We start from the raw sequence: 13,951 nt of genomic DNA, 5'->3' as shown, positions 1-13,951 counted from the left end.
ACAATGCCATAAATACTGCCCATTCAAGGTTTATAAGTGTCCTCATGAATCAGTTTATGATTAATATCTAAAATAAAATTATACATTGTACTTATGAATATTTTAAATTATAAAAGCCAAGTGGTATTTTCCAACTAGTAGCTGAATGCTGAATTTCAATCATCTTATTTCTGTGACAAAAAACATGATTATTTGTAGTAGCTCAGTAATTATAAAAGCTTCATCCACACTGCTGTCATGTAAGTGAAAATTGGAAATTACTGAGCAATTTAAGATTGTGGTTAGAGAACAGTACTAGTTTAAAAACTATATTAGAACAATTTTGTAAGTTATTATTCAATCTTCTAGACCTTGGGAAATAGTCAATATCTAACTAATAGTAGTCTCTTCCTATGTACAACAGAAAAGGTAACTTGTGGCTCACATCAGCAAATGATTTGACCGTTGATGAGAATGACTTCCCAACAGTGTATGAGTACATTGTCCTTTTTCTGAGACTGGCTTCCCTACTCAGTGTTTAACAACCATTGTGGAAGTCAGTGTGGCGATTCCTCAGGGATCTAGAACTAGAAATACCATTTGATCCAGCCATCCCATTACTGGGTATATACCCAAAGGATTATAAAACATGCTGCTATAAAGACACATGCACACGTCTGTTTATTGCAGCACTATTCACAATAGCAAAGACTTGGAAGCAACCCAAATGTCCAACAATGATAGACTGGATTAAGACAATGTGGCACATATACACCATGGAATACTATGCAGTCATAAAAAATGAAGAGTTCATGTCCTTTGTAGGGACATGGATGAAACTGGAAACCATCATTCTCAGCAAACTATTGCAAGGACAAAAAAACCAAACACTGCATGTTCTCACTCATAGATGGGAATTGAACAATGAGAACACATGGACACAGGAAGGGCAACATCACACTTCGGGGACTGTTGTGGGGTGGGGGGAGGGGGGAGGGACAGCATTAGGAGATATACCTAATGCTAAATGACGAGTTAATGGGTGCAGCTCACCAACATGGCACATGTATACATATGTAACAAACCTGCACATTGTGTACATGTACCCTAAAACTTAAAGTATAATAATAATAAAATTAAAACAAACAAACAGAAAAAGTTATTCAATGATAGTTGTTAAAGCATGATAAGGAAGTCTTTCTTCAAGGCCATCATGATAGATATTAAGGACAACCGTAGCGAGATTTTGCAGTAAGGGAGAGAGATTGGGTTTAATGCCCAATACAGCATGGGAAAGCGGAAATTTATAGCCAAGGAGCAGGATGGGGGCCAGTGGATAGGAAATGACTAAGAAGTAAGGAGGATTCTGTCTAAACAGACCTAACAGAATTCTTGCTGAAGACAGGCCAGGGTGATCAGACCTTACCTGGGGGATGGCAGAGGATGAGGATCCCGCTTAGATATTGAGGATGATCAGATATCGAGGGTGAGGTTTTCTTGCTAAACTGATTTAGCAGGGTTCACAGATGGACATAGGAGAACGATCAAGAGTTTGGTCATGAAAATAATCTTTGTCACCAACATCTACGGAACATATTGTTCCAGCATTGCTTTCCCTGGCCTCATTACCAGGAATACAAATCAATACATCTAGAAGCCAGAACTGATTTTTCACTTAATAAACTGTTTCTTCATCCATTTCCTAACTCTGTGTTAGCACATATTGCAGATGAGGGTAGGCAAAATCAAAGATCAAATACTACATATATTTGCCAAATGAAGTCTGCCTCATGTTATAGTGAAGTTCCCTGAGGATAATTGTTTAGTACCTATAAGCTAATAGACAAGCGGAAGCTATTTGCCACACTCTTGTATGACTAATTCCTATTAGTTTAGATGCGTTAAAAATAAGTAAATATCATAGTTATTTTAAGTATAGCTCAATACAATTTATTTTTCTAATTTTGCACCATTTACCTTTAAGTTCTCTAAAATTACATCATAAAATTGGGGCATTTGGAAAGACAATGAGAAAATACAAACAGGTGTATTTAAGCTCTTCATGCACCTTCCTCATGTCAAAGTTCCACAAGTACGGATCCTCTGAAGTTACCATATATAATATAATACACCATGAAACAAGTCTTATGAACTATATGTATAAAGCAATATCTTACATTACAAAAGAAAATTCTATATTATGCACAGTGCACCTATCTTAATATATAGTTTCTGTTGTGAAATGTGTTTGCATCCAAAACAAAAAGTCAAGAATTTCCTGATTCTACTTTTCCCACCATATTGTTTTATGTCTTTTCTAAATTAATGTTGCTTCTCTGGCATTCCCTAAAAGATCACACCAAATACTCTCTCTGTATCCAAGGCATACAAATTTTTAAAAATTAAAAATATATATAAATGATTTTAGTAACTGAGTGGGAATGGGGGGGAAGCAACATAATTTGAATTTTATTATGTGACTACACAAAACATAATACATTTTAAAACCCTTCCTGAACTCTTCTTAATGATGCTGGGCATATAAAATTTTAAACACAGTTATCAAAAAAAGCATCAAACTATGGATATACTTCATTACTTAAAATATTATATTATTTGCACATATTAATTAATTTCCCACTTATTCTGCAATGAAATTAAAGTCATTGTAATAAAACATGATAAAATATCTTGGAGATAATCGAATCTAAAACCTTTTTAAAAATGAGAAGCCAAATGATTTCTGATGACTTCAAAAAGCTCCTACATATATAAAATGCGCAGTTTATTTTTATGAAGAATAAGAAAACCCACTAAATTACACCTCAGCCCTCTATAAGTGCCGAACTAAAACTCTGTATACTGGTTTATATTGCTTCTTATAAACTGGATTATATATATTTCCAGAATTCAAGCCTGTAAACTAAGAATTGTCTCTGTTTTCTTTTATAATGTAGACATGATCATTTTGTCATAGCAGCATTTTTGTCTATCTTAGTGAGAATGTTAAGTCTCTTTGGGGGATTATTCTGACTGCTGCTAACCTAGGGTGTTATTTTAATGTTTAAACCATTGTTTTGCTATTTTGCAATTAAAGAGATTTTTCTTGATGCAAATATTCAGCAACATTCTTTAGGGACATTTTTAAGCAAATGCTCACACTTTGTGTCATGTAGCAAACGAAGTGATTTTTATATTTTTCCTATTATATTTAGTAAGATTGTGGAAGTGTTTTGCTGTGAGAATGCCCTACAATGGCTATAAGCACAGCAGTCTGAAGAAAAGCTTTAAGAATACAAAAACACAATTTGAAACAACATGGAGTTAACTGTCCACTTTGGGGAAATAACAACAGCAGACAGACCGACCTGGCACACAGCAATCAGAAATGAGGTCATTCACATTTCACAAAAGCCTTGGGCATTTTCAAGGGCAGAGAATAAGCCAAAACAACCATTTCCCCAAGCCAGAAGATTCTTCACATGTACAGTAAAAAAGACTCCTGATTCCATCCAGGTCCTTCCAGGTACCTGGAGGCCTGCAGCTCACAATGACATCAGTCGGTTGTATTATCTTCAAAAATGGAGTCCACCAAGATAATGTATTAGTGAGGTTTCAATAAGTTTATTTGAGCAAGCTATTCAACATTACTTTCTCTATTTTCAACTGCTGACTTTAGCATTCTTATTTTCTATATCTATTTCTTCATGTAATTTTCCACATATTCAGAGAACTGGAAAAAAGTTTATTTGAAAATTGTGAATCATGTTCAGCTAGCTGGTAATTGAAATGCTTTCTTAGCACACACTTTCCAGTAGGGTCTTGCTATGGGGGGAAATTTACCTCCTGTGGATTGTCTTCAAAGCTATAAAAACTCCTTATTTTGTTTTCTTTTGCTTGAGCTTGGGGTGGGGAGTTGATGTTACATCCTCATTCTGATAAAATGATTTTTGTTCCATATGTTGTGTTTGAAGGCCTATAATTTCACCACTGTTGATGGTGGAAATGAAGTTTGGTGGAGGAAATGATGTGGAAAGTTGCATTTGATATTTCTGGATTGTCCCAGCACATTTGAGAGTGAGCAAGTGAACATTTTACACTCAGCATCTTTCGTGGCATTAGAAAGCTACAAATATCCTTTCCTTTTCAAAGAATAATTATTTTGGTTTGATTTATCAATAATGTTTTCACTGTAATTATAGTAGAAATAGTGAATGGATCTTCTGTCTGCTAAGAATTATGCTCTCTTGCATGGTCCTTATTTGGTGGGCTCTACCAATAAGTCAAACAAATTTAATATATTAAAACTGTTATACACAGTAATTTTCAGCAGAGCAACACAATAGCTCTACTTCTAGGCAAGAGTTTCTTATAATACATTGACATCAAAACAAATGAAAAGTTGGAAAGTTATTTCTGCTAATATAAAAATATGTGTTATATAATGAACCTGTTTCCATACAGGTTTATGGTGAGATCAAGACTTCATCTTAATGCATAGTACACTGTTAAAATGCAGAAATGAACCAGGCTCAAGAACAATAAGTTTATGGTAGAGAAAAGCCTAAGTTCAAACAACATCACCACTATTTTGGTGGACTTCCCTTCCTCCTGCCCTTCTTTTCTTTATTTTGTTGACAGACCTTACTGAAAAACACAATGTGATCATTGGATGAACTGCTGCTAAATGATTGCTCAATCAGTTGGCCTTTTGCTTGGCCATTTGGAGTGGTCACGCCTGTCACCTCATAGCTACATGCAGTAATGAAAATGGACCTGTGAATTAGTTACATACAACACATGATGGCCACAAGACTCGAACATCCTTTATGCAAATGATTCTTTAGAAATTATTAATTAGTTTTTGAGGAACATTAATTTCTATAACCCCCCCAAAATTATTACTACCTGGAAATAGACCTGAATTCATTTTAACTATGATAAAATTGCATTCAGTGACAATTAATCGAGCAAGGCAGAAGAGACTTTGGTGTTAAATGAGAAGTGTACTCTTATTATTGCTTCTTCTGGATACTTTTAATTTGTATGCACAAACATGATTTTAAGCACAAGCACTGTCTCTGGCCAGTAAATGTTTTGAACACCTGATTTAAAAATAATTTATATGCAGTAACATTAAGATGAGTTCAGAGGTATTTTTATAATCAACATGCTTATGTTTACATATATTTTAAAAATCAAAAAGTAGAAATTCAAAATGTGCCCAAGGGAGCATCTAATGTTTTTCAGAAACACTGCTGAGCTATTTAATCTCAACCAATAGGACTGCCAGGTGATGCTCAGAGTCCATCCTTCTTGACTGCAGATGAGGTAATTTGTTTCATCTAGAAATATCCTGGGGCAAATATATAAAGAAATATAAAACACTCACAAAGCACAAAGTTAATTTTGTTAAAATTAACAATATCTTCTATTCTGCCATTTTACCATTAGATACAATACCTTAGGCGATATTATGAAGCAATCTATATTCAAATTCCTGGGGTGGATATGTCAGATGCTTAGTTCAATTTTGTATTAGTTCAATTTTGTATTCTACCTTAGAAGTAAGTGAATATAATTTTAGAATTCAAATATATTTTAAAAATATATTCTTGAAAAACTGAAGTTGTAAATTTCACATAAAAAATCTTTTAAGAAATAAACAAATAAATCAAAAGATTGTGAATCACATTTGTTTACTCCATTCAAAAGTGTTTTGAAGTTAGTAAAAGTCAAAGGTTTTTAACATTTTGAAAGGTCTGATATCCCACTGAAAAATATAAGTAAAGTTATAGACCCTCTTTCTAAACCATACATACATATATATGTGTGTGTGTGTATATATATATATATATATATATATATATATATATATATGTAAACATGCATAAAGAAATTGTTGCAAACTCTTTGAATGGTTTCACGAACACCTGGTCCTCTGAAGGTCATCTGTGAGTAACTTTGTGATCTAAAGATCTACTAGGCTAAGAAACTATGGTTTAATCAGTGATATGCTTTTAGAGATGTTGAAAAACTGACATGTCCAACAATATTATTCTTATGTGTCTGCCAACATGTCTAAATTGATTCATTAACGATATTAACATGTTATATCTTGGATATTACCCACTTAGCATGTTATGATAACTGTAAAAACTTACATAATAATATAGCCACATGGAAAATTTTGTCAGAATACAAGCATATAACCTTATTAGGGTTATATGCTAATAAGTAGAAGTTAAGAGAACTGTCTACTCTGCAGTTTAAAACAAAACTACAAACAAATAAAACTAAAGCCCATTCAGACCCAGGTAAAGTACTATAGGAGCCAGGTCAGAGGCATGAAGATTCTTGGGTCCAGGTGGTTGTCTGGGATGCAAAAGGAAGAAGTAGAATTTTTCTATACTGAATGTTACTAGTTTGTGATAGAGCTAGTCTAATGCATATTGTGCATACAGATGGTGACCAACAAAACTGTACAAAACCAAAACTTTGAAAATATGTTAGCTTAACTTATAAAAATAATACATTTTCAATATTTATCCTGAATAAATATTATTGGCATTACCAATTCACAAGAAAGTAGCCTTACTCTTCCAGTTAAGAAATTATCAGGGGAAATTTCAGGTAATCAGAATGTGACCTACTGATCAAATGAGAATGGAAGATCAGCTCAATGAAGCACCTGAGACCAGCATGCCTCATTAATCATTAGTTTCCTCATTTCCATTTTCTCGTTAAAAAATGATTTATTCCAAATAGGACTCCTTGTAAATGGGAAATATAGTTCATTCACATATTTTTATCCCTAGTGATAACCTTAACACTCAGTGGTATGTGGTAGAGGCAGAAAAAATTCCTCCAGATAAGGAGGTAAAAATATAAAGAGATAGACAAATCTGCAAAGAATGTGATGAGCTAGAGAGCTAGCTAAAGGGATGGAACTCTAGGGTAAGTAGGATTTCAGCATTTTGAGGTTGTGAGCCTGAAAGTGGAAGTTGGGAGCACAGAAGGAAAAAAAAAGAAATATGAAGGCATTAAACCCAGGAAGTGCAGGAAGCAAATTAGGAAGACGGAATAGAGAGATGAGAATGCAACAAAGAAAACAGGAAACCTAAGATCAACTCTGATAATTTACTCTCTTCACAATTCAGAGTAAAATTGTAGGAATCTTGAGATTCATCAAACAGATGGACTGCTACACTGTTACCACACTAACAATAATCTTCAAAGTAAGAATTGATGATTTTTCCTCTGAAACAGAAAAGGGCAGAAAATACGAGGACATTCTAAGGCATAGCACAGGGAGCTTACATTAAAGAGTCTTGGTAATTTTATTAAAATAGAAGAGAAAGTCATGTAATGAGAGGGAAGTCAGGTCTTGATGGGAATAAAATAGTTTAGGACAGCTACTGTTCAGAATTCAAAAGCTAAAGAGAAGTAAAGAGATTTGTGGAGCAGCAGTGAGGATCCAATTAGTCTTGAATAATATGAATTTGAATTGAACGTAATCAGTTCGATCACATAACTTGCCACACACAACACTTGTCAGAATGGAAGAGAGAACAGTGGAATCAGACAGTGAAAATATATATATATATATATATATATTCACCAGAATTATTCTGGGGAAGAGAACTTTTTGAAAGAAATATGTTGATAAGCTACTTCAAGGGCAAAGTTAACCCCATCCACCGCCTAATAACCAAGGACATGATCGTGTAACAAAGGATCGCTTCTGAATGGATTCTAAAGAGGCTGGGTTTGTAGGCTGAATGGCATTTTGGTTGCTGAGCACTGAGATGGGTTTTGGTCAGCAAGTTGAAGACAGATGGTGAATGGAGCAGAATGGCTTTTCATCATGTAGAAGAGAAGAGCAATGGGCCTGTGGGCAGAATGGCTAAATATCCAGGGGAAAATAGACCTGGGTATATTGGAGTATATCATTTTATTTTTATTGTTTGCATTCTAATGCTTCTTTGTCTACTTATTTTATTTTTTAATTGACACATAATAATTATACCTGTTTATGGGATACATGGTGATGTTTCCATATATATAATGGATAGTGATCAAATTAGGGTAATTAGCATATACATCATCTCAAAGATTTATCATTTATTTGTGTTGGAAACATTCAATATTCTCCTTCTAGCTATTTGAAACTATATTATTGTTAACTATAGTATATTGTTAACTATAGTATTATTAATATATTACTATTATATATTATCTATATAGCAGATATTATTGTCAACTATAGTAATATATTATTGTTAACTGTAGGAATCCTACAGAGCTATAGAATGCTAGAACTTATTTCTAAGATCTACTGTATCTTTAGAATGTTTTAGGAAACTGCCAAGCAGCCAAGTTTTGCAAATAGAACGCCCCTAGTCCTATAAGCCCTGACAAGAAACATAGACCTTTTACGAAAGCACTGGGTGTGGGGTGGGGGGCATTCATAGTCTCTAAAGTGGAGTCTTCTTATATAGTGGCCTACTTTGGGGTGAGAATAAATCAGGCAGTTCTACTTGGATGTCTGCAAGATTTGGGATTTTGCCAGATAGATGAAGTGGAGCAGGAGGTTTAGCATACAGAGAAAAGAATGGCTGGGGTGATGCATCTTAGAATCCTAAGGGTATATGAAAGAAAGTATTAAGACAAGGGACCATTATATTGTATAAATGTGAAGGAAACGATAGATTGAAATTTCAAATTAGATCAAAAAAGAAGTGAACCGTGAACAATATTGAAAGTGAACTAGAAGGACGATCTTTAATTTCTTTTTAACTTCACATTTTTGAAATGTTACTCTTCCTTCTTCAACCTCCCTTCACCCAAAATATTTTGTGCATTATACCAAGCACGTGGTAGGGATTTAAAGTAGGCAAATAGCATTTACTTGGATTATGTTCTAAGTTGTTTTTTTTTTCCCTAGCTGAGGTAAGAGACCTAAAAATTTCCTCTTCTTTGTCTTAATTTTGTAGTGGCCAGCCTCCTGCAAATGCATATGCTTCCAGAATGGTTTTAAAGCAAGAGTATTATCATATGATATGATTTAAATCCTTGTAGTCTATGCCATACAGGGGGCAAGATTTCTGTTCATAGTGAAATACAAAATATGAGCAATTAACTCCAAATTTCTCAAAAGAATGGGGAAAATATTCCTCTAGTTTTTTTTCTGTTTTTACTAATGACCTGTTATTTTACACATGATATATGAAAAATTAAAAGGAAAGCAATAGCTAAAAATAAGTAGGAAAAATACTTCAGCATGCTGCCAGTATTGCTCTTAAGGCACCTGTGGGAGCAAACATTAAACAACGAGTTAATGGCTTATTCAGTGGACCCCAGAGTATCTCATGCAAAATGCCATTTTAATTATTTATGCAGGGAAAAGAATTTTCATCAGATACTTGAGCTTTTTTTTTAACTTTCAATTCACTTTTAGAAAGAAGGAAACTGGGTTTATATAGAGAGTTTTGCCTTAGGAATACAAAGTGCTTTGAAAACATTACTGTAGGTTTTCTGATAGAATGAGATTAGATGCCTATTTTTATACTCATGCACTAGGTAGAAAAGTGACTTGGACAAAGTTTGCCAAGTTACTGACAGAATTCAGAATTAAACTCGACACTCTGAATTCTAAAACAATGCAGTATCAAAAAGGATAAATACTCCAAGACAAAGAGACTCATTCAAAGGAAAGTGGCACAGGATTTTTGGCATTAAAATACATGTGTTATCGGATGTATTTTAAATAGCTTTTGCAAAACAGAATTAAAGATAGGTCAAACTGTTAATCTGTCCTATCCTTAAATAAGTGAAGTTTTAAGGGCATGTAGGATATCCTGTGGATGACCCAACTGGTTTGAGTAAAACACATAATGCTGAACAAATACCTAAAGACAAGTCAGCCACCTTTGTTTTTCTCGGGAATTAAGTTTAACGATCTCAGTACTAAGAAAGCAATATTCTTTCAGGTAAGAACACAGTGTTATTGTTGTTTATTTGTTTGTTAGTTTACATTATTTTGAGACTAAGATTGAGATTTTCCTAGTTGTGTAATTGCAACCTTAATAAAAATAAAAGATTGATGCCTTTGATATTTTTCTTCAAAATAAATAGATACAAAACAACAACAACAACAAAACCAAATACTTGTAACCTTAGTCTGGGTTCAGCATTCTCCCAGCTCTTCATGGGGGTCTTCATAACATCCCAAATAAAACTTCGCCAAAGAAAACCTCGCAGCATCTGGCAAGGGCATCCACATGCCTTTGTTTAACTGTTATCTATAGACATCTGCTCCTTTCTTTCTGATTTTTGAAATATTTTTATTACAGTATTTTAGCTCAACAGAAAGTGTTTATGGGTCTACTACACGGCAGATTCTGAAGACATGAACATGAGTAAGAAAGTAGTTTCTATAGTCACAACTCTGAGAGGAAGACATTTATGTAAATAAATAATTATAATAGAATATAAAAGATGAAATAACAGAACGGTTTATGGAGTACACAGAAGGAAGTGGAAGGAAGCCCCCACGTAACCACGGGGCTACAGCAGAGGAAGCCCAGCCTCAGCCATGGTTGTAGGGATTGGCTGAGGGGTTGGAGGCAGCTCACCACCATGGCAGTGCTTTGGGACTGACAGCTGTCAGTTTGGTGACATCACTATCAGTTCTTTGTAAGCTGGAAACTACATTTCTCAGAAACCACTTGTCTTGAAAAGTGCCAGGTTAGATTTTGTCACTGAAACGAACTCCTAGAAGACTGGGAAGAGGGAAAGCAGAAACCATGAAGCTTGGCATTTTATACTGTCTGATGCAGCAGGTTTCCAGAGCCTTCCACAAACTCCTGCTGGGTGGGCTACAGGATCTGCAGCTTCCTCCAGGCTGACATCATATTGAGTATTTCTCCAATCTCCCAGACTCTAATCTCTCAGTCTTCCAGATCCTACCACATTCAGGTAAATTCTCATTCCTACATTAAATCCTATATGTAGATTCCTAGATAAAATCTTCTATTTCTCTAATACTTGTAGTGAACTTTTTCTCAGTAAACCCAGACTGATGCAGACAATTTCACAGAGAAAGTGAAAGCTGGACAGCGTTTTGAACACTAAGTAAGCGTTCCACACACAATATGGAAGTCATCCCTGTAAAAGGAAAGAGCATGTGCACTGGAGGAATTTGAATCCTTTAAATCCTTGAGAGAACAGAAAGAATTCATCTCTAGATGCTCACAGAATTGCCCTCTCTCAATCCACTAATGCAGATGATGCATTTTCCTCTTTAATTTAATCTCTTTACCCAAATTCCAAGAAGTGGCTCAGATTTGGGATCAAAGGTAGAAAGGAAGATGGCAACATGGGACTTGAAGCAGCCCTCACTCACACCACCACATAGAGATGGCTCTTCTGAGAGTCAATCCAGGCAGGGTAAGCAGAGCCAGAAAGGGAGAGGGCATCAAGCTGTAGTGGCACCATGAGGCCTTAGATCCAGCCATAACTGACATTCATTCACCTCTTGGATTTCTCAGTTATGGCAAGAAAATGACAAAGAGTAAAACACTTTTCTATAAAACACTTTGACATGAGTTTATATTCAAAAACAAGGGTCCTCAAAAACAAGAGTCTTGGTTAATATTACAGTGTTTGAAAAATGTAAGCATTTCAGTTACTTTGATACCAGTTTGTTTGTTTGGCATACCAATTCTGCAATCCCTACAAACTCTATGAGAATAATGTTTTATATGTGCAATTGATTTTCCAACAAATATTTATTGAACGCCAAATAGTACCAAGCATTATACTGGATTCTGGTCCTTCAAAAAGATAGGCAAAGAAGCTCATCCTCAAGGAGCTTAAATTCTACTGGGTACAGACATAAATGTAGGTTTGTTCTTCCACAACCCCAGGTGACTCAAATGAGAAGGACTCACCAGTTTGTAATGTCTAAGTGACAACTGCTTGTCAGCTCCAGGGATGCCCCAGCAACGTTTACCACTTGCCTCTCCCCAGTTCGTTTTCTCCTTAACCAACACCCATAACTCATATGGGTTAGGTTGATAAATGGCCCTCATCAGAGGCTGTGATACAAAAAGAAAAGCAGATTCCCTTTTTGGTGATATCTGCAAGTACTGATTGGGACCAAAATCCAATCGTATGGTGACTAGTAGGAAATGTACTAGCAGGAATTTACATTATAGTAGGAAATGAAGGCATAAAGATACTGTTGCTAGATGTTGTGAGGTTTTCTTTGGCGAAGTTTTATTTGGGAGGGTATAGAAACTCCCATGAAGAGCTGGGAGAATGCTGAACCCAGACTAAGGTTACAAGTATTTGGTTTTGGTGTTTTTTTGTATCTATTTATTTGGAAGAAAAATATCAAAGGCATCAATCTTTTATTTTTATTAAGGTTGCGATTACACAACTAGAAAAATAATCTCGATCTTAGTCTCAAAATAATGAAAAGTAACAAACAAATAAACAAATAAATGTCCCTCCCTAATTAATGCATACATTCTTTCCCTTTTGTTTCCTGCCACTTCCCCTGTTGTTCTGGACCACCCACCTCCAGCTGGTGAGTCTGCTTTCCTTCCTGGAATCCTCAATGGTATGAGTATTAATAAACTGCTTTCATCTTGCAGGCTTGCTGTTGGCCATGTCATTAGCTCAGGCCCTGGTAACTTCCTGGAGAATCACAGTGAATTTGGGGATTTCAGCAGGTCTCTCTAAAGTTGACAGAAATACTGATTCATTATTTCACATACCTGCTCATATCCCAAACCTCTTCCTTCATGCCTCCCACCCACACCTTTAGTTAATGAATTTACTCACACTCACATAGAAAACTGGAGCCACCGTAAGGTGACATTTAACAGTCTCACCACCACATCTACTACTTACTCCAATCTGCACCTGCCTAACCTACTCTTCCACCTGTTAACTTAGATGAATTTGCCATGGTCTTATCCAAAACCAATTCCTCAATTTGTCCTGAATCTCATCCCCTCTTGGTATGCTCATAGACATTGCGGAAAATTATTATTTCTTTGCTTTCTGTATTAGTCAGGGTTCTCCAGAGAAACAGAACCATTAAGATATGTATAAATATATGAGGAAGTTTATTATGGGAATTGGCTCACATGATTATGAGGGCCAAGAGGTTTCATGATATGCTGTTTGCAAGCTGGAAACCCAGAAAAGTTGGTGGTGTGATTCAGTCTGAGTATAAAGGTCTGAAAATCAGGGAACCCATGCCGGGAGTGGGAAGGACTTGTGTAAGTTCCAAAGTCTGAAGGCCCAAAAACCAGGAGCTCCAAAGTCTAAGGGAAAAATTAGATAAATATCTCAGCTAAAGGAGAGAGAGAAATTTTGCCTTTCTTCCACATTTTTGTTGTATTTGGGCCCATAAGAAGTGGGATAATGCCTGCCCACAATGATGAGGTCAGATCTTCTATACTCAGTCTTCTTAATATTCCAAAGGTAATCTCTTCTTACAGCACCCTCAATGACAGACATACCCAGAAGCAACCTCTTACCAGCTACCTGGATATACCTTAATTCAGTCCAGTTGACATAGAAAATTAATCTTCCCACTTTCTTGTATCATTACTTTTAACTCCGGAATGGCTTATTCTCATGACACACAAATATGCAGTTTATGTCTTTCATATAAGAAAAATAATTCATTCTCTATTTTACCTGCAAAGGAACCCAAGAAGTTCAGCGAAGTGGGAGGGAAAGAAAGGACATCTGTTTGTTTTAGTCCATGTGAAAATCTAGTGTATTAAGGGAAAATGAATATTCATTTTGCCAGTGCTGCTACCAAGTCAGATAAGATGATTATATCTCCTACCAACAAGGGTGGCACCAACATGAAGTCATTAGTGAGCTTTAGGAGCAATTTTGATGGAGAAGTGAGGGGAAAAAATTGATAAAAGTATTATTTCTAAAA

At 35.4% G+C, this 13,951-nt stretch overlaps 1 long non-coding RNA gene across 13 annotated transcripts in view; it reads right to left on the bottom strand.

The window, feature by feature from the left end:
* The window catches only part of AGA-DT (AGA divergent transcript), a 255,397-nt gene that overhangs the window by 46,254 nt on the left and 195,192 nt on the right, over nucleotides 1–13,951 (bottom strand). The window lies entirely within an intron of this gene.

The sequence above is a fragment of the Homo sapiens genome, chromosome 4 (assembly GCF_000001405.40).
Source record: "Homo sapiens chromosome 4, GRCh38.p14 Primary Assembly".
In the NCBI taxonomy this organism is placed as follows: Eukaryota; Metazoa; Chordata; class Mammalia; order Primates; family Hominidae; genus Homo; species Homo sapiens.
Note: the sequence above shows the minus strand (reverse complement) of the source record. Positions and strands in the feature narration are given on the sequence as shown.